Genomic DNA, 24,881 nt, shown 5'->3' on the forward strand with positions numbered 1-24,881 from the left:
CACCTGTAATCTCAGCACTTTGGGAGGCCGAGGTGGGAGTATCACTTGAGCCCAGGAGTTTGAGACCAGACTGGGCAACATGGTGAGATCATGTCTCTACAAAAAAAATAGCCAGGTGGCATGCACCTATAGTCCCAGCTACTCAGGAGGCTGAGATGGGTGAATTGCTTGAACCTGGGAGGTCAAGGCTGCAGTCAGCCGTGATCATGCCACTGCTTTCCACTTGTGACAGCGAGACCCTGTCTCAATTAAAAAAAAAACCAAAACAAACAAACGAACAAAAAAAAGAAATCACAGAATCACAGATCCATGGAATTATTTCATTCATTCATTCATTCAACAAATAGCATTGAGCACCTTCTTTTTATTTTTTCTTCTTTTTTGAGATGGAATCTTGCTCTGTCACCAAAGCTGGAGTGCAGTGGCATGATCTTGGCTCACTGCAACCTCTGCCTCTGGGGTTCAAGTGATTCTCCTGCCTCAGACTCCTTAGTAGCTGGGATTACAGGCACCCGCCACCATGCCCGGCTAACTTTTGTGTTTTTAGCAGAGATGGAGTTTCGCCATGTTGGCCAGGCTGGTCTGGAACTCCTGACCTCAGGTGATCCGCCTGCCTTGGCCTCCCAAAGTGCTGGGATTACAGGTGTCAGCCACTGTGCCCCACACCATTACAAACGCTTGGAATATGTGAGGGAACAACATAGACACAAATCCTTGTCCTCACCAGTGTTCTATGCTTCACAGTTCCTCACACATAATAAATGTTTAAGAAATGTGGGCCAGGCGCGGTGGCTCACGCCTGTAATCCCAGCACTTTGAGAGGCCTAGGCAGGTGGATCACGAGGTCAGGGGTTCAAGATCAGCCTGGCCAACATGGTGAAACTCCATCTCTACTAAAAATACAGAAATTAGCCAGGCATGGTGGTGGATGTCTGTAATCCCAGCTACTCATGAGGCTGAGGCAGGAGAATCTCTTGAACCCAGAAGGTGGAGGTTGCAGTGAGCCGAGATCGTGCCACTGCACTCCAGCCTGGGCAACAGAGCAAGACTCTGTCTCAAACAACAACAACAACAACAACAAAAAGATGTTTAAGAAATGCTTGTGGAATGAATTACTGAATCAGCATTTGAATATAAGATCCCTTGGACCTAAAGTCACAGAACCGCAGGTCTCTGCCAATGTCAGGATCCTTTATCCTATTACCTCATTGCTGCAGAGAGCTTGCCCCACAAAAGGGCCCAGGGCTTGTGATAACATGAAGGCAGGGAATTCATCCATCTATTCATTCATTTATTTGCTCATTCAACAAACATGTGTTAGGGCTGGGCTTTGTGTCCAGCAGGGCGCTACAACTTGTCCAAGGTCATATAGCTGTGTGTCCAAGGTCACAGGTCTGCGAGTAGAATCTAGTATGAATGATTCCACCTGGGATTTTCTTCAGTGTCTTTCTCAGCTCTGGCCAGATAAGTTTGAAGATATGTGTGGGGTGGAGGGGAGAGGGATGAGAGGTGAGTGGAGGAAATCATCATCATGAAGACACCATTCATTCATTCATTCATTCATCCATCCATTCATTCCATTCAGGAAACACACTTCGGACACTGAATGTGCCAGAACCTGTGCAGGAAGGGGGTTGGGGGACAAGCTATATGGGATGCTGTCTTTGCCTTCCAGGAGGAAGCTCACAGCCCAGGCTTGAGGGCACTGAAATGCAGAAGAGTTCTGGGTCCAACTGGGGACAACGTCATAAATTTGCTTCAGGAACTCCCAGTTAGCTAAGGAGAAACATTCCTGCCTCAGGAGAGACCCCTCTGCAATGGTGAATACATAGTTCTTGTCCCAGGAAGACCCCCTTCTGAGGAGGGAGCCTCAGTGTGTCCCAGGATAGTTTCCAGTCGGGTGGGGAGGACCCTTGGTCTCGGGGGAATTCCCAGTCTGACCCAGCCCTTGCCCTAAGAGATCTCAGCCTGATGGGGGATACACAAAGCCCACTCTCTGGGAGCTAACAGTCAGATGGGAGAGGTAGGCTGAATAGATCCACTCTATACACAGGGGGAGGAACAGGAGACCGCATGTGGACCGAAACTAACGAACCACTCACTCACACTAAACTGAGTTAGCAAGTCCTGTTGGTCTTTCTGAAAAGCAAAGACATTTTGAACAGGTGAAAGCAGGGTGGGTTGAGGTGTTGCGCAGAAGTGGAAAAGGGAAGGAACTTTCTTCCCCTGTTCCTTCCCCGCTCCCTCCAGAAAGGTATTTCTGGAACTCTCCAGTTGGTCTGGGATCTGGGCAACTGCTGTGTGTCCCAGTCTGTCAGCCCCTCAGCTGTCACTCTGCTCCCAAAAATAGCAATGGTTGAGGGGAGGGAGAGGAAGCTGTTTATCTGGGATAGATGTGGAGAGGTGCATTAGAGCTGTGCCCAGGGAGGGAGTCTGCTGGGGGGTTCCTGTCCCTTCTGGATCTTTCTGTCACTCTTTGGAATGTTAGTGCCTAAGCCCCCCACCAGGATAACCCAGAGTGGGGTGCTTGGGCGGAGGCTGGTCAGCACCTCCACGTGGTCATGACTGACCAGTCTGGGGAGGGGGAGGGCCCTGAGTATCAGTGACAGACTCCAGGGGCACCTGCCCCTGTGGCCAAATATGGTCCAGAGCCACTGGCTGAGGCAAGAAAATCTCTTGGGTGGGGGCTGGGAGGGGCAGACTGAGGCTGGCTGGCTGGAGGTTGACACAGGAGTGCTCAGGGGAGCAGCATCACAAGAGGGCAGATCGAAAGCATCGTCCTTGCTGAAAAAGTGAGCATGGGCCTGGGGTGTGCCCTGGACTGGGGAGGGAGACGGCAAACTTCTAAGACCTGCAATGAGAGTTCAGGCCTTTGGCACAAACTAAGCAGCTTCGCCTGCTCAGGCTGGGAGGGACAGAGAGTGAGGCACAGGGACTCTCAACTTGGGCCAAGCTCTGAGCAAATGCTATAATGTCCTCATGGGGCAATAGATTTGGGGGTTCTGGGGGTGGGTCCCTTCCAGGCAGAATCCCCACCATCCTCTCTGGTGTGAGGGGACCCTGGAGCTCCGGACCTCAGGCCAGGAGCCCAGCCCTGGGTCTGCAGTGAGGGGCTGACCAGACAGAGCTTCTCCTGTCCCAGCAGATGGCAGAGGTGGAAGCGGTACAGCTGAAGGAGGAAGGAAACCGGCATTTCCAGCTCCAGGACTACAAGGCCGCCACAAATAGCTACAGCCAGGCCCTGAAGCTGACCAAGGACAAGGCCCTGCTGGCCACGCTTTATCGGAACCGGGCAGCCTGTGGCCTGAAAACGGTCTGGGGCAGGGCAGGGCACAGGGTGGGAGTGAGGCAGAGGGGCTTTGGGGCTGAGTGGCAGCCCCTTCACCCTGATAGAAATTGCCCTTCATCCCAGCCGACTCTCCTGGATGCCTGGGGTTGGAGAAGGGTGCCTCCAACCCCCTGACCCATGCCCCGGAAAGACAGAAATTCATCCAGAGCAGAATCAGCCCAATGCCAGGTGCTTTCATGTGTTATTCATGGCATCTTACTAATGGCCCGTGAGATAGCTGTTGTTGTCCTCCCCCTATCGCAGGTAAGAAACTCGGGATCCAGAGGGCTTCATTCATTAACTTGCCCAAGCTCTCCCAAGTAGTAGCAGAGCCGAGATTCAAACCTGGGTTTGCCTGATGTCAAAGCCTGTCCTCTTTGCCATGCCTGTGAGGAGCATGCCCTGGGCCTCTGACAGCCTGCAGCTCCCCCAGGAAACCCTCTCCCCACACTGTGGGGACACTCTCTGGCCATCTCTGCATTGGGCCCACATTAACCGAGTCTCCTTCTCCTTCCCCTTTCCTCAGGAGAGCTACGTCCAGGCAGCTTCAGATGCCTCCAGAGGTGAGCCCCTCCCACCTCCAAGCTTGCCCTGTCACATTCTCCTCTGCATGGCCTGGGTTTTAATCTAGTTACCATTTTGGGGGAAGAAACAGTGAGTATGGAGTGACTTCAGAAGGGAGAGAACAAGCTGGAGAAGGGACTGGAAACATATCCTGTGAAGAGCAGTTGAGGGAAGCTGCAATATTTAGCCCAGAAAAGGCAACTCCCAGGTGGGTCAGAGAGCTGCCTTCAAATTCCTAAAAGGCTGTCACAAGGAAGAAGGATTGGATTTCATCTCAAGGGTTCCAGGGCTGGGCAATGTTACAGGGAACACATTTCAGGCAGGGAGAGGGAAATGTTTTCTGATTAAGCTGCCTGGCTGTCTTTTGTTGTTGTTGTTGTTTGTTTTGTTTTGTTTTTTGGGTTTTGTTTTGTTTTGTTTTTTTGAGATGGAGTCTTGCTCTGTTGCCCAGACTGGAGTGCAATGGCATGATCTCAACTCACTGCAACCTCTGCCTCCCGGATTCAAGCAATTCTCCTGTCTCAGCCTTCCAAGTAGCCGGGATTATAGGCGTCTGCCACCACGCCCAGCTAATTTTTGTATTTTTAGTAGAGACAAGGTTTCGCCATGTTGGCCAGGCTGGTCTCGAACTCCTGACCTTGTGATCTGCCTACCTTGGCCTCCCAAAGTGTTGGGATTACAGGCATCAGCCACTGCGCCAGGCCCGCCTGGCTGTCTTGAGGAGGAGGGAGCTCCCCACTGCTGGAGGTATGCAAGCACCGATTGGTTAAGCCCCTGGCAGGGATCCTGTAGCAGAGACTGGAGCGTTAAGAATTGGATGACATGACCCCCAAGCTCTCTTCCCACCTTGAAACTCTGTGGATCTTACTGTCTCCCTAACAAAGGGGAGGTAAGGGCCAGAGAGTCCACATGGATGGATAATCTCCAAGGAAGACACAGAAACGAAGCAAGAGCATGCTTCCTGGAGTTGGGGCAGTGGGGCTGGTGGTCTGTAGTCTGGCTCCCTAAGGTCCTCATCCCCCGTCTCCCCTCGATAGCCATCGACATCAACTCCTCGGACATCAAGGCTCTGTATCGGCGATGCCAGGCACTGGAGCACCTGGGGAAGCTGGACCAGGCCTTCAAAGACGTGCAGCGTTGTGCCACCCTCGAGCCACGGAACCAGAACTTCCAGGAGATGCTGAGGAGACTCAACACCAGCATTCAGGAGAAGGTGAGCTGGGCCTCTTCCCACAACCCTTGGCTGCCCAGCCCCTCTCTTCATTCCTAGTAGGAATGGGTTAGGGAGGTGGGTCATCAGGGCAGGGCTAGCCCTACCTCCACACTCTGAGATAGAGACAGCAAGTGGCATGGGCAGGCTGCACAGAACAGCTAAGCAGGTGCTTCTATCTGTGATGCTTGTTTGAGGGCACAAGCCAGCCAAGGCTAGAACACAGGTCTTTTAAATTCCAGATGGGGCCAGGCACAGTGGCTCATGCTTATAATCCCAATACTTTGGGAGGCTGAGGCGGGCAGATCACTTGAGGTCAAGTAGTTTGAGACCAGCCTGGACAACATGGGGAAACCCCGTCTCTACTAAAAATACAAAAAATAGCCGGATGTGGTGGGGGCGCCTGTAATCCCAGCTACTCAAGAGGCTGAGGCAGGATAATTGTTTGAACCTGGGAGGTGGAGGTTGCAGTGAGCTGAGATCATGTGCCATTGCACTTCAGCCTGGGCGACAGAGCAAGACTCTGTCTCTCCCACCCCCGCCCCCCCCAAAAAAATTCCAGATGGAGGCTTAGAAATATTATTATAACTTAGTATGTCTGCAACATGATCTCTCTCTCTTTCTATGTATTATAAAATACATGGGAATTGAAGACATCGATGAGGGATAGAGGAGAGCCAGGCCCCATTAGGAGCATGATTGCTTTTTTTGAGACAGATTCTTGCTTTGTTGCCCAGGCTGGAGTACAGTGGCATGATCTCAGCTCCTCACTCCAACCTCTTTCTCCTGGGTTTAAGCAATTCTTGTGCCTCAGCCTCCCAAGTACCTAGGATTACAGACGTGCACCACCACACCTGGCTAATTTTTGTATTTTTCCGTACGCCACATTTCCCGCGCCCCACCGCGGGGCGGGGATTCGGCGCTGGGCTCTTCCCTGTTCACTCGCCATTACTGAGGGAATCCTGGTTAGTTTCTTTTCCTCCGCTGACAAATATGCTTAAATTCAGCGGGTCGCCACGTCTGATCTGAGGTCGCGGGCCTCGATCAGAAGGACTTGGGCCCCACACGAGCGGCGCCGGGGAGTGGGTCTTCCGTACGCCACATTTCCCGCGCCCCACCGCGGGGCGGGGATTCTAATTTTTGTATTTTTGATAGAGATGGGGTTTCACCATGTTGGCCAGACTCTCTCGAACTCCTGGCCTCATGTGATCCACCCACCTCAGCCTCCCAAAGTGCTGGGATTACTGATGTGAGCCAGGAGCATAAAATATTTTCTAGGAAATGGAGTAGGATGCGGAGAACCTGGACCAGAGGTGAGAAATCCTGAACCCTAGTCCTGGCTCAGCTGCTAGTTTTTGTGGGGCATCTCTTGGGGTGTTGGTTTCCTCTCTGTAAGAGCCATAAGGTAATTGATCACTCAGCCCCTTGCTCCAAGACTCAATAACTTCTACACATCTGGAGAAGCCCTGTGGTAGGACCACAGCATGCTGTCCAGGGTGCAGACTCAAGGACTGAGGAAATATAAACTAAGGAGAGATTCAGAGAGGGATAGGCGAAGGAAAGACCTCTCCGCACCCCCAAAGGAAATGAGCACAAGGCTGGGTGTGGTGGCTCACGCCTGTAATCCCAGCACTTTGGGAGGCCAAGGCGGGAGGATCACTTGAGCCCAGGAGTTGGAGACCAGCCTGGGCAACATAGGGAGAGACGCTGTTCCTACCAAAAATTAAAAATAAATTAAAAATAGGCTGGGTGCGGTGGCTCACGCCTGTAATCCCAACACTTTGGGAAGCCGAGGTTGGTGAATCACCTGACATCAGGAGTTCGAAACCAGCCTGGCCAACATGGTGAAACCCCATCTCTATTAAAAATAAAAAAATTAGCTGGGCGTGGTGGCACATGCCTGTAATCCCAACTACTCAGAAGGCTTAGACAGGAGAATCACTTGAACTTGGGAGGCAGAGGTTACAGTGAGCAGAGATCGTGCCACTGCGCTCCAGCCTGGGTGACAGAGCAAGACTGCATCTCAAAAAAAAAAATTAAAAATTAAAAAATGTGCTCAGAAGTAGGTGGGAGTAGTGTGGACCCCCCCAAACAAAGTAACAGGAGGTTCAAAATGAGCTGGCGGAGTGAAGGATGATGATCAGTTAGGTCACTTTATGGAGGACCCAGGGCAGTGGGGTTGGAGTGGGGACTGTGAGGGACTAGATATCCAAACAAAATGAGTTCAATTTGCTTGAAACAGAGCTTGAAAGCTGCTTCGTCTACATTTCAAGTGTGTTAAAAAGAAAGAAAGCTGCTTCAGGATTCTGAGTATGGAGACATATTTCTGTTTTATCCCTATTTAAATGTCTAATAGCAGATTGTTTACTAGACTCTAAAACTTGGCTGAAGATCCTTTACGCCTTCCCAGACTATTGTGATGTCTAAATGGGATAACAAATGTAACCAGATGGTGAGCCTTCAGGGGCAAGGACTTGATTTTGTTCACAATTCTATTGTATTTATTAATTCATCGTACTTATCCAGTAAATGTTTGTCGAATGAATACATGAATGAACGTATGTGCGGGAGCCCAGAGTAGACACCTGATATTTACTGAGATGAACTGAATGTGGAGCTGAAATGACGTGGACCCCACCTGCCTCCTTCCCCACTCCCTCCTCTCTCCTCAGCTCCGAGTGCAGTTCTCCACAGACTCGAGGGTACAGAAGATGTTTGAGATCCTCTTGGATGAAAACAGTGAGGCTGATAAGCGGGAAAAGGTGAGTGCTGGCCAGTGCCATCCAGCCAGCAGAAGGACCCGCCAGTCTGGACAGTGACATCATTCCGAGGGGGAAGGGGGACCGGAGGCCTGTCTTTGCAGCCCAGGAAGGAAAATTGGCCAAAGGTTAAGCACATTGGAACACAGTGTAAACCATAAGAAGGACTGAGATTTGGGTGAATCTAGTGAGGAGAGTCATGCAGCAAGGTTGGATCCTGTCTTTATTTGAAATTTTGATGTTTTGTTCATCATGGATTTTTCTGGCATTGATTTTGATTTTTAAAAATATAGCATTGATTATTATTCGATTATTGAGTTCTTTGGTGCCCCTTTAAATTTTGCACCCAAGGCAAGTACCTCACTGGCCTCACTATAATTTCGGCCCTAAGAAATAACGGGCCCATTAAAATAACATTTTATTTCATTAAAAAATATTGAAAGAAGTCATTCTGAAAAATTTAAATATTTACCAACATAATCATCCTCTTAACCAAACTTGTTACCTTTTTTTTTTATGTTTCCTTCTAGTGTTTCTGCAGGGGAAAAAAATTGAACATTCGAGTGTTTTACATTTGCAAGAACTTGAGAGACAATGGGGAATTTTTGTTAGTTTTATGTTCAATAAATCCATAAACTAGGCAAATATCTTTCTTAACAAACTCTTGTGAGAACATAATAAGTTGTTATAGATAAAATAAAGTTTTTTGGTTTGTTTTTTTTGTTTATTTGGTTTTTTTTTTTTTGGAAAAGTACAAAGCCCTTAGTTGATAGTGATGGTTCTGGTCACGCTTGCCTGGAATTCTCTAATCAGCCCTCTCCCCAGCACCCAACTCAACATCTCTTTGCCCACCTCCTCCCCTTCCCCTTCTTCCACCTCCTGTGTTTCTCAGCCCTGGGTTCTCAGGTCCTGCTTGAGACCTGGAGCCTTTTATTTTAAGGTTCATGCATCCTTAAGTTGGAAGGCTTTAGGTGGGAAGAGACTTGGGAACCTGCTTGCTCAACTGCCTAAATTTACAGATGAAGAGTCTGGGGTCCAGAGAAGTGCCGTGACTCACCCAAGCTCATACAGCTAGCAGGGAGCAGAATCAGAACTCAAACCCAGGGCTTTCAGGTCCCATCTAGTGTTTTTGCTGCTCACTTCCTGGGAACTTCAGATTCCCCTGAACAGGAAAATCAACAAAATGTTTAAGGAAATCATTCTCCATGTAAAAACACTTCATTTCTCCACCTTTTTTCTAGTCCTTCTCTGTAAGCATTATATACATCTTTATTTTAACATAAGTGCAATTGGAGTAAACATTTGATCCTGATTCTGCATACCAATGCTTTTTCCATTGCTCTTAGTCTTTTTATTCATGACTTTAATGGCTGCAATATATTTCATCCAGCTGGTCTTGATGCAAATTACTTGGCTTTTTTTCTTGAATTATGTTCTTGGGCTGTGTTTCCAGGAGGAGGATTACCAAGGTGAGATAATAGAACAATGTTCTGAAGATCCAGTCTTTGCACTGGCTCTTCTTGTACTTGGCCCATGGTCCAGGCCTGGGTGGCCGTACCTCCCTCGTAACCCTTATTGCCTCTTCCTCCTTCAGGCTGCCAACAATCTCATTGTCCTAGGCCGTGAGGAAGCAGGGGCTGAGAAGATCTTCCAGAACAATGGAGTAGCCTTGCTACTGCAGCTTCTGGACACTAAGAAGCCTGAGCTGGTGCTGGCTGCAGTGCGGACCCTGTCGGGCATGTGCAGCGGCCACCAAGCCAGAGTAAGTGCCCGGCTGTGGGGCATGTGGAGCAGACGACTGCTGGTCCAAGGATCCGGAGGGTGACGTGTGGTCAGGGCTGTGGCTGGCATCAATGGAACCAGATAAAAAGTCAAAGGGTGCTCCAGTCTCTTTTTCCCTTTCAGTTGGAAATGGGTTTCACTAAGCAAAGACAAGTTACTGAAAGTGCCTAAGGCAGAAGTGATGAATGCAAAGGCTATGATATTTTACATTTTTTCATGCTAAGTCTTTGAAACCCAGTGTGTATTTCACACTACAGCATATCTCCATATGGTCCTGCCACCGTGCAAGAGCTCAACGGCCCCATGTGGCCGGTGGTCACTGTATTGGATGGCACAGCTCTGACCTCCAGAGATGGGCATGGCTTGTTGTCAAGAGGTTTCCAGGACAGAGGGGCCCATGAGGCAATGGCTGCCTGGGCTGATTTCTCTACTGCATGGGATAGGGTGGGGAGGATTATCACACCCTCTCTAACCTGCATGGCAGCTAGAAGGGAGGGGCAAGGCAGCTGACCATGGTTCTTGCTGGGGTTCTAGGCCACAGTGATTCTGCATGCAGTGCGGATAGACCGAATCTGTAGCCTCATGGCCGTGGAGAATGAGGAGATGTCTCTGGCTGTCTGCAACCTGCTCCAAGCCATCATTGACTCCTTGTCTGGGGAGGACAAGCGGGAGCATCGAGGGAAGGAGGAGGCCCTGGTTCTAGGTAGGAAACATTCTTCAGTTTTGATTCAAGGGGATGGGGAAAGAAAAGGTCAGTTGCTACCTCAGACTGGGAATTCCCTGTATGTGGGGGTGGCTTGGTTTTATGTATTTTCTTTTCTTCTCTTTTTTTGAGATGGGGTCTTACTCTGTCACCCAGGCTGGAGTGCAGTAGCGCGATCTAGACTCACTGCAACCTCCTGGATTCAAGCACTTCTCCTGCCTCAGCCTCCCGAGTATCTGGGACTACAGGCACACACCATCATGCCTGCCTAATTTTTGTATTTTTAGTAGAGACAGGGTTTCTTCATGTTGGCCAGGCTGGTCTCAAACTCCAGACCTCAGGTGATCTGCCTGCCTTGGCTTCCCAAAGTGCTAGGATTACAGGCATGAGCCACTACACCTGGCCTGTTATATGTATTTTCTGATTATAAAAGTAACAGGCATAGCTGCAGTATTCACAATTGCTAAAAGATGGATACAACTCAAGCGTCTATTGGTGGGTGACTGGATGAGCAAAATATGGTATATACATACAATGAAATATTAGTCAGCCTTGAAAAGAAAGGAAAATTTGACACATGCAACAACGTCAATGAACATTAGGACATTATGCTAGTGAAATAAGCCAGCCACAAAAAGACAAATACTGCATGAATCCACTCATATGAGATACTTAGAGTAGTCAAATTCATGGAGATGGAAAGTAGAATAGTGTTTGGCAGAGGATGGAAGAGGGGAAATGGCGGGTTATTTTCTAATGGGGACAAAGTTTCAGTTTTGCAAGATGAAAAACATTCTGTGGATAGATTGTGGTGATGTTTGCACAATGATGTGAATATACTTAATGCCACTGAACTGAACACTTAAAAATGGTTAAAATGGGGCCAGGTGCAGCGACTCACTCCTGTAATCCCAGCAATTTGGGAGGCCGAGGTGGATGGATCATGAGGTCAGGAGTTCAAGACCAGCCTGACCAACATGGTGAAAACCTGTCTCTATTAAAAATACAAAAAGTAGCCGGGCATGGTGGCGCATGCCTGTAATCCCAGCTACTTGGGAGGCTGAAGCAGAAGAATCGTTTGAGCCGGGGAGGCGAAGTTTGCAGTGAGCCGAGATTGCACCACTGCACTCCAACCCGGGTGACAGAGTGAGACTCCGTCTCAAAAAAAAAAGGTTAAAATGGTAAATTTTATGTAAATTTTACCACAGCTTAAAAAAAGTAACAGAGGCTTATTGAAGACATTTGGGAAAATATAGAACTACGTAAAAATGAGAATAAATGCCTATAATTACCCATTCAGGTAATCACTATTACCATTACCACATGGATCTTTCCTCTCTTTTTTTTTAAACCATCAATATTTAACAAAATTGGAATTCTGCTATGAATAGTTATATGTTTTTTTCTGCACTGAGCATTATATTAATATTGCATACCATTTAATATTCTTTAAAAGGACTCCTTTGATTTTAATAATTAATTTTACATTTGTTTCCTGCATATGCACATACAGACTCATGCTTCTCCGTGCACATCCAGGTCCTAGGCATCAATTTAGAAGATATTGCTCTGGCTGGGAGGGCCAAAGAGGCAGGTTCACTCAGAAAACTTTATTTTCAAGAATATCATAATCTTCCCTTGTATGGATTATTCATCAATCAGCTCTATATTATTGGAGATTCCAGTTATTTCCAATTTGCATGTTTATACAAAACTCTCCAGGAGCCATTTTTGCATCTATGCTTGCATTTATAATTTATTTTTATTTATTTATATTTATTTATTTATTTATTGAGATGGAGTCTTGCTCTGTTGCCCAGGCTGGAGTGCGGTGGCACGATCTCAGCTCATTGCAACCTCCACCTCCCGGGTTTAAGCGATTCTCCTGCCTCAGCCTCTGCTAATTTTTGTATTTTTAGTAGAGACGGGGTTTTACCATGTTGGCCAGGCTGGTGTCAAACTCCTGAGCTCAGGTGATCCGCCCGCCTCTGCCTCCCAAAGTACTGGGATTACAGGTGTGAGCCACCATACCTGGCCACATTTATAATTATTTCCTGGGGTCAAATTCCTAGAAAAGGAGCACTGGGTCAAAGGCTATGAGAATAACTAATGTTCTTTCTATATCTTGCTCTCTAATTCCTTTCTGAGAGGCTGCATCAATTTATACTCTCACAAGCAATGATGAGAGTCTCCATTTTAACACATTCTCATCAGATCTGAATGCTATCCTTCTTAAAGATATTTGCCTATCCAGTAGATTCAAAATTATCGTGTTAGATTCAAACTAAATTATTCATCAGATTGATCATTTTTCTGTATCTTTATTAGCCATTTGGATTCCTTTGTCTTTGGATGGTTTGTTCATGTTGTTACCTATTTCTTAATGTTGTTCTTATTTGTCTATAAGAGTTTTTTTTTGTTGTTTGTTTGCTTTGAGACAGAGTCTTGTCTATCATTCAGGCTGGACTGTAGTAATGCAATCACAGCTCACTGCAGCCTCAAACTTCTGGGCTCAATCCTTCCACCTCAGCTTCTGGAGTTACTAGGACTACAGGCTCGTGCCACCATGCCTGGCTAATTTTTAAATTTTTCATAGGGACAGGGTCTCACTTTCTTGCCCAGGCTGGTCTCAAACCCCTGGCCTCAAGTGATCCTCCTGCTGTGGCCTCCCAAAATATTGGGATTACAGGCCACTGCGCCCAGCCCTGAAGTCCTGGATTCTTGATGTGACTCTGACTTACTATTATTATAATGGTCAGCTAGTCACTTTCCTTTTCTGAGCTAGAATTTTTGGAAGATCCAAGATGGCCCTGCTTGTGTGGCTGGCAGTCAACTGGAAATGTTGACCTTGTGGCCTTGTGACCTTGTTGATCTTGTGGCCTTGCTAGTGGCCAGCTTGGGTTTCTATAGAACATGGTGGCTGGATTCTAAATGGACAAGCCCCAATGTGCAAGTGCCATGTAAGCCTCTGGTTGTGCCACAGGTCACATAAGCAGCCCAGGGCCAGTGTTGGAGGAGATTACCCAAGAGCATTTATAATGAGTGTCGTGTTTCCCAGGGAGACACCAATTCACAATCTTCCATGACTTCCTTGGGTTGAACATCTCTGCTACAAAATTCTTCCACATATTGATTTCCACTCTATCCCCTTGTAGCTTCCATCTGCCTCTGGTCCAAAGTCTGCCCTCTGGAGCCTCACAGAAGGAGTCTGTTATCTCACTCTCATGACATGCCTCTGTCTGAAGACGAACTGTCACATCTGCTTACATCTTTCCTTCTTTAGGCGATGGAGCTGTATTCCTTCATCAGTTATTTATCTGACATGGTTTGGAGAGCTTTACTTTTTGGTTTGCCTGCCTTTGGGCTCCATCCTAGAATGAGAACAAAAATCTCTAAGTATCTTGGAGGGCAAAATCAGAAAAAAAGGCATTTGCCTTTTAAGATCTACCAGTGGGCAGGAAGTCCCGGCGTCACAGGCAAAAGCTTGAATTCAGGCTCCCAGCATGCCTGAATCTGTGGGGAGTGAAATGTCCCTAAAAAGTACAAATTCCCCTTCTGGAAAGCATTTTATTAAATCAGTTTATTAGAAACCACATAAAGCATCCCTGGATCTCTGCCAGTCACTGGTAGGAGTGAAGAACTTTCTAAGAATCTGAACTGCTCAAGGATGGAATGAGCTGTTGTAGAAGTCAGGGTTCAGGGTGGCTGGAGGACCACTTGGGGGTGTTGTCTAGGGATTTCTCTCCCTTTTTCCAGGTGAGATGGGCAACACTATACTCCCCTGGGAATTCACATATTCAGGAAGTAGTGGATTCAGTACTTCCAGAGTCTAGAAGCTGCTGCTCTTCTTGGTCATATATATGTGAGATTTCCTACCCCTCTCTACTTACCCCGTCCTCTTTTTCTTCAGACACCAAGAAGGACCTGAAGCAGATCACCAGCCACCTGCTGGACATGCTAGTCAGCAAGAAGGTGTCTGGCCAGGGCAGGGATCAGGCGCTGAACCTGCTCAATAAGAATGTTCCCAGGAAGGACCTTGCCATTCATGACAACTCACGTACCATCTATGTGGTGGATAATGGTGAGAAGAGGGGAAGGTTTGGGGCTTGCTCAAGCCTTTTAAGTGGGCACCAGGGCACTGAACAGAAAATGGAAGATGTGAGGCTCTTGAAGGGGTCTTCAGTTCTAACTGAAAAGATGAGAAAAGGCATTGGCCCATCAGGATCCACCAGTGGGCCTGTGAAGGTGCAGGTCAAGGCTCTGAATTCAGAGCCTGAACATGCCCAGGAAGTGCCCAAACACATCCCCAAAACATGTGGGTGAAGCAACCTAGCAAATGGGGACAAGGACTCCACCAACCACAGGATAAAATTCCAGAAGTCTCATGGTTGGTAAAATACTTCACAGGCCTTTCAAAAGGGAGGAAATTGCATCAAGTATAGTTTATATAAAGCACAGTGAGAATGTTTGTAAACCCAAAAGTATCTGAGACAGGTCTCAATCAATTTAGAAGTTTATTTTGCCAAGATTACGGACATGCCCCGCAGAGAGGAAACACAGAATCACAGAAACAGTCTGTGGTCTGAGCCTTTCTCCAAAGATGATTTTAAGGGCTTCAATATTTCAAGGGGAAAGACAGCCTGGAGGGGAAAGAGGGAGGGTGTGGTCACATTACATGAATGCACATGTTGGAAGAGAAAGGAGGAGGTAGGGGAATAGTCAAATAGTCAATTACATATTTGTCTCCTGCTCAGTAAATGATCACTTTACATAAGATAAGGTGAACATAGAATGGACATATTTAAGCCCTAGAGTAATTTATTAAACCTTTGGAGATATTTAACCTTTTATCTGTAGCTATCTGCTTAGGAATAAAAGGAAAGGCAGTTTCTTGCCATGATTCAGCTTTCAGCTTAATTTTTTTCCTTTGGTTTAGGGAGTTGGGGGTCCCAAGATTTCATTTTTGTGTATCTATCTATTTATTTCTTTTTAGAGACAGAGTCTCACTCTGCTGCTCATGCCAGAGTGCAGTGGCGTGATCATAGTCACTGCAACCTCAAACTCCTGGGCTACAGTGATCTTCCTACCCCTCAGCCTCCCGAGTAGCTGGGACCACAGGCACGAACCATCATGCCGGGCTAATGTTTTTCTTTTGTAGAGATGTGGTTTCACTATGTTGCCCAGGCTGGTCTCAAACTCCTGGATTCAAGTGATCCTCCCACCTCGGCCTCCCAAAGTGCTGGAATTACAGGCGCGAGCCATGGCACCGGGCCAAGATTTTATTTTCCTTTCATGTGTTCTAGCAGACAGTCACTCAATTTGTCAGCTCCGAGGTGTTACCCCTCTCCTCAATCAACTTCTTTGATTGTTAAGGAATCATACCTGTGGTTTCATGATCTGCTATGGTAAATTCTTCCGTAGGTTTTATGACACACAGACTATACCTTGTTCTAAAAGATTCAGATCAGCTCTTCCCAGCTTAAAGAATGTCTTTTGATATTGCACTTCCCTTGTTTGGTTTTTATAGACCTCAGCAAAGTGCATGTGCAAGTGCTTAGACTTTAACACATTACCCTACTGCTAAATGCCCAAACCCCACTTCCTCCCTGCCTCATTCTGGTCTTCTCCACATATGTCATGAAACGTGAGCGTTAACAACAGATCTTCTCTCTCAGCACCAGGATCTAGGCTCATCCACGTGTTATGGGATGGGACAGGTAGAGAGCAGTATTTTTTATTCTGTTCTTTTTGTAAAGGGCACCAACATGGACAGCACTTGGGTAAAAATAATGTGGATTTAAAAATTCAGATATTCGAATACAAAGCTGCAATGTTGAGGTGTTATGTGTTGTGCAAACTGGGCTGGGAGGCACGGTAAGGGAGCTGTCAGGATGTCAAACCCGAAGTGAGCTTTTGGGTGAGAGAAGGGGCAAAGATAGACAGGAGGAAGGTCTAGAGTGTTTGAACAGAAGAGAAATGAGATGCTCAAGGCATGGGCAAGAATGGAAGGGGAGACCGGGAGATGAGATTGGAGAGGGGCATTTGAGGGATGCTTTTAGGACCCAGGCTGGGGAGTCTGTGTTGGCTCATCAGGCACTTCCTGTTACTCCCCAGCCCTACTGAGCACTTTTTAAATGCATGCTTGTTGCATAATAAGAAATACACATATTTGGTCTCTGCTGCTGTTTCCTGGCACACAGCTAACCTCTGAAGTGATAAGTATCTTTTTGTATGCTCATGTAATAACTGGTGGCTGGGATCCCCTAGATAACCTCAGAATGTCAGAATGGGGGCTGGTTGCCAGGGGAAACAACCATGCAATTACAGGATTGGAACTTTCGGCCCCCCACCCCTTACCTCCAGGAAGGGGAGAGGGGCTGGAGGTGGGATTCATCACTAATAACTAATGATTTAATCAACCGTGCCTACATAATGAAGCCTCTATTTAAAAAAAATCCCTAGCCAAAGGGGCTTAAAGTGCTCCCAATTTGGTGAACACATGGAGGTGCTGGAGGGATGGCTACCTGGAGAGGGCATGGAAGTGCCACGCCCCTTGCCAATACCTTGCCCTCTGCATCTCTTCCATCTGGCTGTTCCTGAGTTTCTGTTTTTGTTGTTGTTGTTGTTTAAATAATAAATTGGTAATCTAGTAACTAAACTGGTTTTCTGAGTTCTGTGAGCCATTCTAGCAAATTATCAAACCTGAGGGAGAGGGTCATGGGAATCTCTGATTTATAGTTGGCCAGTCAGAAGCACAGGTGGCAACTTGGACTTGAGGCTGGCATCCGAAGGAGGGTAGTCTTGTGGGATTGAGCCCTTAACCTGTGGAGTCTGTGCTAACCCCAAGTGGTTAGTGTCAGCGTTGAATTGTAGGACACCCATCCAGTGTCAGAAGTAAGCTCTGAGAGTAGGAGTAGTTTAGGGAGGAAACAGAAGTTTTCCTTTAAGTGGTAAAATGTACATAGCACAAAATTTACTGCCAGGCGCTTTCTTTTTCTTTTTCTTTCATATGGGAAGATGGGTCTGTTGCCCGGGCTGGTCTCAAACTCCTGGGCTCAAGTGGTCCTCCCACCTCGGCCTAACCAAAGTGCTGGAATTACAGGCATGAGCCACCAAGCCACTTCCAGGCACTTTTTTTTTTTGAGACAGAGTTTTGCCCTTGTAGCCCTGGCTGGAGTGCAATGGCGTGATCTTGGCTCACTGAAACCTGTACCTCCTGAGTTCTCCTGCCTCAGTCTCCCAAGCAGCTGGGATTACAGGTGCCCGCCACCATGCCCAGCTAATTTTTTTGTATTTTTAGTAGAGGCGGGGTTTTGCCATGTTGGCCAGGCTGGTTCCAGGCACTTTTAATTCCCTCCTAACATCTAGAGTTTCATGCCTCCCAGCTTTTACCTGGAATGTTCTTTCTCCCACTTCCCTGTACTACACAAGGTCTGACCAGCTCCAAGCCACCTCTAAAACCTGGCTCCGAAATCCATCTCTCTGTTGCCCCAGAGGCAACATAGTATAACAGCTAACATCACAGGCTTTGAAATCAGACGGGATTGGGAGCGTGTCCTTGCTATGTCACTGGGCAACTTACTTGACTTGTCCTGGGCAACTTACTTGACTTCTCTAAGTCTTGTTTTTCTCCTCTGAAAGATGGAAATAATGATTCCTAACCAGCAGGGTTATTGTTAGGATTAGATGAAGTGAATGTGTATAAAGCTCTTGGCACGTAGTAAGTGCTCAGAATAAATTGCAGATCTTATTTTGTTGAAGTGAATCACCTCATCTTCAGTGTTACCCTTCTATACTTATCACATCTCATTGCAATCTTCATATGTCAGTTTTCCCTATTGTATTGTGAGCTTTTGGAGGTCAGGGTTGTATCTGTTATTTTGGTAGCCAGTACCCCAAAGGTGCTCATTTATTTAACAAAGACATGACTGTTGAATTTGCCCAACGGTAATAGGAAGCCATTGAAGATTTTTCAACAGAAGAGATGAGAAGACATCATCATCATCATCATAAATGTAAATATGGCATTTACTAAATAAATACTTAATAAATACACACTCAATAATAAACATTTATTGAGTCATAGTAGTGTGTCTGGATTGATAGTAGAGTTTCCATACATTATCTCATTGAGCCCTCAAACTTTATGAGGTAGGTAGTATTATTCCCATTTTACAAATGAAGAAGCTGAGGCTTGAGGAAGGGAATATGAAATAGTATTTGGAGAAGACTATACATCAGCCCATGGAATGTCAGCACTGGTAGAGTCCTCTGAGATCGACTAGTCCTGATTTTGTACACATGAAAATAGAGGCCCCTAGAGGGAGGTGAATTGGTCAAGCTGGGGGCAGTGTCAGGTGTATAACCTGGGTCCTTTGACCCCATTCTAGGCCCTTTCATTCTGGATGAACCACATGTTTTCTACAGACAGGGCTGGAGAGAAGCTGATGATAACAAGTCACTGAGTGAGGGGTGTGTGTGAGGATGGAGCCCAGCAGGAATCTTAGGCTTGCCACTGTCTACCCTGCAGGTCTGAGGAAGATCCTGAAGGTTGTGGGGCAGGTTCCAGATCTGCCATCCTGCCTGCCCCTGACTGACAACACCCGCATGCTGGCCTCTATCCTCATCAACAAGCTCTATGATGACCTGCGCTGTGACCCGGAGCGCGATCACTTCCGCAAGATCTGTGAGGAATATATCACGTAAGTTTCCTGGAGGCCTCACAGGGTCAGGCTCTGTCTTGGTTATCTATGGCTGTGTAACAAATTATCTCAAAATTTAGCAGCTCAAACAATAGTGTTTTATTATCTCACACCAGAACAGAAATTTGGGAGTGGTTTGGCTGGGTGGCTCTGGCTTATGGTCTTTCATGAAGTTACAGTCATATGCTGGCTGGGGCTGCAGCCATCTGGAGGCTTGACTGGGGCTGGAAAATGCTTCCAAGATGGTGGACTCACACAGCTGGCACACTGGTGCTGGCTGTTGGTGGGAGGCCTTGGTTCCTCTCCCTGCAGACCTCTCTGCAGCCTGCTGAAGCGTCTTCACTGCATGCCGCTGGCATGCCACAGTAAGAGAGCCAAGACAGAGCAAGGCAGCAGGGAGATGTCTTCTCTATCTAGCCTCAGAAGACACATGTCATCACTTCCGCCACATTCTATTCGTTAGAAGCAAGTCAGTAAGTTTGACCTATGTTTAAGGGGAAGAAATTAGGTTTCAGCTTTTGAAGGCAGGGGTGTCAACATATTTTTGGACATATTTTATTTTATTTATTTTTTGAGACAGAGTCTCACTCTGTTCCCCACGCTGGAGTGCAGTGACACAATCATAGCTCACTGCAGCCTCGAACTTTTGGGCTCATGTAATCCTCCTACCTCAGCCTCCCAGGGTAGCTGGGACTACAGGCACTTGCCACCATGCTGGGCTAATTTTTTTTTTTTTCTGTCACCCGGGCTGGAGTGCAGTGGCATGATCATGACTCACTGCAGCCTCAGCCTGCTGGGCTCAAGCGATCCTCCTGCCTCTGCCTCAGCCTCCCAAGTAGCTGAGACTATAAGTGTGCACTACCACGCCTGGCTAATTTTTGTATTTTTTGTTTTGCTATGTTTCCCAGGCTGGTATTGAACTCCCAAGCTCAAGCAATCTTCCTGCCTCTGCCTCCCAAAGTGCCGGGATTACAGGCATCAACTACCTTGCCCAGCCATGGACATATTTTATACCTACCACTGGCTTCTGTGGTTGAAAGGAACACATGTCAGCTTGTCAAGGAGGGAGGCCCGGTTCTTTCAAGACTAAGACTCATGTGGCTTTGCAGAGCTAGACAGGGGTTAGGACCCTCAGCAGCTGCAGTTCCTGAGTCTCCTCACTGGTGCTCCAGCATCAGTGTGACTCCAGTGCATGACCTTTTAATTCTTTATTGCAGTGATTCCCAGACTTGTAAATTATTCAGATTTCTGAGACATCCCCTCTTGACTCGGTAGTTTGGGGTGTGGCTCAGGAAGCTGCATGCTTAAAAGCACTCCAGGTGAGTCTTAGGTGGGTGAAGACGTTGCCTTTACTCTGCTTTTCCTTTCTATATTCCAGGGGTCAACAAACTTTTTCTATGAAGGGCCAGAGAGTAAATATTTTAGTATTTGTGGGACAGATAAGTCTCTGTCAACATATTTTTAAAAATCCTTTAAAATGCAAAAAGCTGGCTGGGCACAGTGGCTCACGCCTGTAATCCCAGCACTTTGGGATGCCGAGGAGCGCGGATCACCTGAGGTCAGGAGTTCAAGACCAGCCTGACCAACATGGTGAAACCCCATCTCTACTAAAAATACCAAAAATTAGCCGAGTATGGTGGCACATGCCTGTAATCTCAGCTACTAGGGAGGCTGAGGCAGAAGAATCGCTTGAACCCAGGAGGTAGAGGTTGTAGTGAGCCAAGATCGCACCACTGCACTCCAGCCTGGGTGACAGAGCAAGTCTCCATCTCAAAAAGAAAAAAGAAAGGCAAAAAGCTGCTGGCCAGGTGTGGTGGCTCATGCCTGTAATCCTAGCATTTTGGGAGGCCGATGTGGGAGAATTGCCTGAGACCAGGAGTTTGAGACCAACCCAGGCAATGTAGAGAGACCCTCATCTCTAAAAAAAAAAAAAAAAAAAAAAAAATTAAAAATGAGTCAAGTGTGGTGGCACACCCCTGTAGTCTCAGCTACTTGGGAAGCTGAGGTAGGAGGATCACTTGAGCCCAGGAGGTCAAGGCTGCAATGAGCCTTGAATGCACTACTGCACTCCAGCCTGGGCAAGAGCGTGAGACCCCGTCTCAAATAAAATAAAATAATGTGAAAGCTATTCTCAACTCCCTGGATTTGCCAACTCCTTCTCTACCCCACGGCTTCTGCTCACCCTGACTTTGGTTCACTTAGGTCTTTTCAAGGCTTCTGTCTTTCTCTACCTCAGTTTCAACTTTTCCTGCTGACTTCTTGAGTCCCTCATGAGGTCCCCAACTGACTCCCATTACCTGTCATCCAGCTAGTTCTTGTTTGGGCTTGTTGATTGAGGCTCCCTCCTGTCAGCCTGTGGAATGCTGAGAGGAGGGGTCACTGCCTTCATCAAATGGTGCCCCAGCCTGCCCCTAGCAAGAGTGGAATACATCCCGCTTCATCAGGGGCGGGGGCTGTGTGGGGACCCAGTGCCAGCTCAAAGGTCAGACCGCAACTAATTACGAAGGATGCTGGTTCCCTGGGCACTGAGTGGAGAGATGAGGCACAGGACATGGGATGCTCAAGCTGGAGGGGCTGTCAGAGCTTCCAAAGCTGAGTCCTCTTCCCCAGGGGAACTTGCCTGAGATCCTCCAGCAATCAGAGGCAGACATGGGACCAGAGCCCAGGTCTTGGACTCTTGGTGTGGAGTTCTCCTGACCAGTCCACGCTGCCTTCTTGCATTTATACACAGCTGCATTTCCACTGTGCACATCTGCCCTGTTTCCCACAATGCACCAACCTGGGCAGATGAGAAGCATCAGAAGGCATGTCACCTCTGACATTCCCACGCAGAGATTCTCCCCTAGAGTAGATGATAATAGATTCTGAAAGCAAGGCAGAACGTTCCTGGATATCTAGCCCACATGCTCACCAACAGGGGAAGGGACTAAGACCAGATCACCAGAGGGGAGTGACTGGCCCAGGCCATGTCACAGAGAGACACAGTGTGCCGGGCATCACGCTAGGCCTTTTTGTGTTGTTGTCAATGCTGTACTGTCCTCCCAGACACAGCAGCTGCTGGAAAGGCTGTCAGCTGACAGCTCTCAGCTGTTATCTCTCTTTGGGACTTGTCTCACCTGGGGAGAGCTGTTTCACCCTTCCCAGGGAAGCCAGTATGCAAACACTCACACCAGGCTAGTTGAGGTGACTCAGACCTATAATACCAGTGCTTTGGGAGGCCAGGTGGAAAGATCATCTGAGGCCAGGAGTTTGAGATCAGCTTGGGCAACATAGCAAGATCCCATCTCTACAAAAAAATTTAAACAATTGTCTGAGCATGATTGTGTGCACCTGTAGTCTCAACTGCTCAGGAGGCTGAGGTGGGAGGATTGCTTGAGCTTAGGGGTTTGAGGTCACAGTGAGCTATGATGGCACCAGTGCACTCCAGCAACAGAGCAAGACTCAGTCTCAAAAAAAAAAAAAAGAAAGAAAAAGACTCACTCTAACTTGGAACAACTGTGAAGGGTCTTCCAGCTCCAGAACTTCTTGGAGGCTGAGGCTTTGTGATAGCTGCAAAATGCCTCCCTCTGCCCCAGTCCTGCTTCCTTCTCTTCCCAAGAGCTCTCTCTAATAAACTTCCTGCATGTCAATCCCTGAGTCAGAGTGTATTTCCCAGAGGCACACTCTGTGACACAGCTGTTATGTCATTTATCCTCACCACAACTCTGAGAACTAGTAGTACTATCCTCAGTTTACAGGAGCTGAGGCTCAGAGAGGTTCGCTGAATTGCCCAATATCACACAGCACATGAGTGGTGGAGCCAGGATGCAAATCCAAATCCTACTGCCTCCAAATCTCACACTCTTTCCACTCTCTTGGACCAGTTCTCTTGACCACCCTTGTCCTTTGTTTTAGGGGCAAGTTTGACCCCCAGGACATGGACAAGAACTTGAATGCCATCCAGACAGTGTCAGGGATCCTGCAGGGCCCCTTTGACCTGGGCAACCAGCTGCTGGGACTGAAAGGTGTGATGGAGATGATGGTGGCACTATGTGGCTCAGAGCGCGAGACGGACCAGCTGGTGGCCGTGGAGGCCCTCATCCATGCCTCCACGAAGCTCAGCCGCGCCACCTTCATCATCACCAATGGAGTGTCACTGCTCAAACAGATCTACAAGACCACCAAAAATGAGAAGATCAAGATCCGCACACTGGTGGTGAGTGGGCTCGGTACCACCCTCCTACTCAGTACAAGGTGCCATGCCAGGCACCAGGGACACCAAAATGAATGAGTTGAGGCTGCTGTCCTTGAGGAGACCAGGTTCAAGGGGGCACCAGACCCAGCCACAGACCCCTGCAGAACAGGGCAATATCCAGGGGGCTTGTGAGGATGTAGATTCAGAACCGTGAACTCTGCTGCTTAACCCTGAGGACGTTCGTCTCCCTGCTTATGAACAACATGAACACTGAGGAGCTTGTGTCCAGAATGCATTTTCAGAGCAAATTCTGAAGAGTCACTTTCCTTAATCAGTTTCTATAAGGTATTTTTTTTCCACTTTCATTTTACTTTTTGTTTTTTTGAGATGGAGTCTCACTCTGTCACCTAGGCTGGAGTGTAGCAGCGAAATCTCAGCTCACTGCAACCTCCGCCTCCCAGGTTCAGGTGACTCTTGTGCCTCAGCCCCCAGAGTAGCTGGAATTACAGACGTGTGCCACCACACTCAGCTAATTTTTGTATTTTTAATAGAGACGGGGTTTCGCCATGTTGGCCAGGCTGGTCCTGAACTCCTGACCTCAGGTGATCCACCCCCCTGGGCCTCCCAAAGTGCTGGGATTACAGGCGTGAGCCACTGTGCCTGGCCTGAAATTATTATTATTATTATTTTTTCAGACAGAGTCTCCCTCTGTAGCCCAGGCTGGAGTCCAGTGGCATGATATTGGCTCACTGCAACCCCCATGATCTCGGCTTACTGCAACCACCGCCTCCTGGGTTCAAACGATTCTCCTGCCTCAGCCTCCCAAGTAGCTGGGATTACAGATGCCTGCCACCACACCCTGCTAATTTTTGTATTTTTAGTAGAGATGGGGTTTTACCACGTTGGCCAGGCTGGTCTCAAACTCCTGGCCTAACTGATCCACCCGCCTCGGCCTTCCAAAGTGCTGGGAGGATTACAGGCGTGAGCCACCGCACCCAGCATCAATTTTTTAAAAACAAATTCTAGCTTCTGACAAAAGTGAATTTTCTCTTATGAAACCGCCCCCCTAAGAAAAGTCCAATTTTCTCTGGGTAAAATTTTGCACATCTGAATCTGTTATCCAGAAGATAGGATTTCTCTGTCAGTTTCTGTGCCGTAACAAGGTTCCCCATTGAAGCTTCAGATATGGTTAACTTGGTCTTGCTGGTTTTTCAAAATGGCAGGCACAATACATCTGTGGGGTCAAAATGGTGGGGGAAGGGGGCAGGTCAAGAATTTGCAACTTTATGGGCCTCTACCCTAACCCAGAGCATCAGGGAAAGTATCTCAGCAGAGGTGACACCTGAGCTGAGTTTTACAGTCTGCACAGAGGTGGATCCAAGCAAAGAAAGAGGGGCGAAGTGTTCTGGCCATAGAAACCTGTTTGAGCAAGGCTTCATCCCCAAGCCTTGGTGTCTCTGATCCTGCATGTGTCTGCTGTCTCCTCTCCTCCTCAGGGACTCTGTAAGCTCGGCTCTGCAGGTGGCACAGACTACGGTCTCAGGCAGTTTGCGGAAGGGTCGACAGAAAAACTGGCCAAACAGTGTCGCAAGTAAGGGGGCTGTGTTTCCCAGGCCCTCCATCTCCTCATGCGCCTTCCGGGCAAGAGTCTCTGGGGTG

At 47.7% G+C, this 24,881-nt stretch overlaps 1 protein-coding gene across 5 annotated transcripts in view, besides 2 other annotated features; it reads left to right on the plus strand.

Moving 5' to 3' along the window:
- The window catches only part of UNC45B (unc-45 myosin chaperone B), a 41,529-nt gene continuing 19,346 nt past the window's right edge, over nucleotides 2,699-24,881 (plus strand). The window contains exons 1-11 of one of the 5 annotated variants that reach the window (NM_001033576.2): nucleotides 2,699-2,792; nucleotides 3,143-3,313; nucleotides 3,855-3,891; nucleotides 4,930-5,105; nucleotides 7,775-7,864; nucleotides 9,456-9,623; nucleotides 10,178-10,346; nucleotides 14,257-14,427; nucleotides 18,877-19,048; nucleotides 22,943-23,243; nucleotides 24,719-24,813. In NM_001033576.2, coding sequence (NP_001028748.1) covers nucleotides 3,146-3,313; nucleotides 3,855-3,891; nucleotides 4,930-5,105; nucleotides 7,775-7,864; nucleotides 9,456-9,623; nucleotides 10,178-10,346; nucleotides 14,257-14,427; nucleotides 18,877-19,048; nucleotides 22,943-23,243; nucleotides 24,719-24,813 — 1,547 coding nt within the window. In that variant the 5' untranslated portion in view covers nucleotides 2,699-2,792; nucleotides 3,143-3,145. Of the gene's footprint in view, nucleotides 2,793-3,142; nucleotides 3,314-3,854; nucleotides 3,892-4,929; nucleotides 5,106-7,774; nucleotides 7,865-9,455; nucleotides 9,624-10,177; nucleotides 10,347-14,256; nucleotides 14,428-18,876; nucleotides 19,049-22,942; nucleotides 23,244-24,718; nucleotides 24,814-24,881 lie in introns of those variants that run through there. The other 4 variants (NM_001267052.2, XM_017024234.2, NM_173167.3 and 1 more) reach the window with 4 other exon arrangements.
- Nucleotides 5,952-6,246: an enhancer, noted in NCBI's record as "identical tiled regions #3440 and #5406; HepG2 Activating DNase matched - State 11:FaireW, and K562 Activating DNase matched - State 11:FaireW". NCBI's record gives its function as "activates a minimal TATA promoter and a strong SV40 promoter by Sharpr-MPRA in HepG2 and K562 cells {active_cell/tissue: HepG2 | K562}" and the evidence as "EXISTENCE:reporter gene assay evidence [ECO:0000049][PMID:27701403]".
- Nucleotides 15,484-15,654: a silencer, noted in NCBI's record as "fragment chr17:33487621-33487791 (GRCh37/hg19 assembly coordinates)". NCBI's record gives its function as "represses an EF-1alpha promoter that drives an FKBP-Casp9 reporter gene in an ReSE screen in K562 erythroleukemia cells {active_cell/tissue: K562}" and the evidence as "EXISTENCE:reporter gene assay evidence [ECO:0000049][PMID:32094911]".

The sequence above is a fragment of the Homo sapiens genome, chromosome 17 (genome assembly GCF_000001405.40).
Source record: "Homo sapiens chromosome 17, GRCh38.p14 Primary Assembly".
Lineage (NCBI taxonomy): Eukaryota > Metazoa > Chordata > Mammalia > Primates > Hominidae > Homo > Homo sapiens.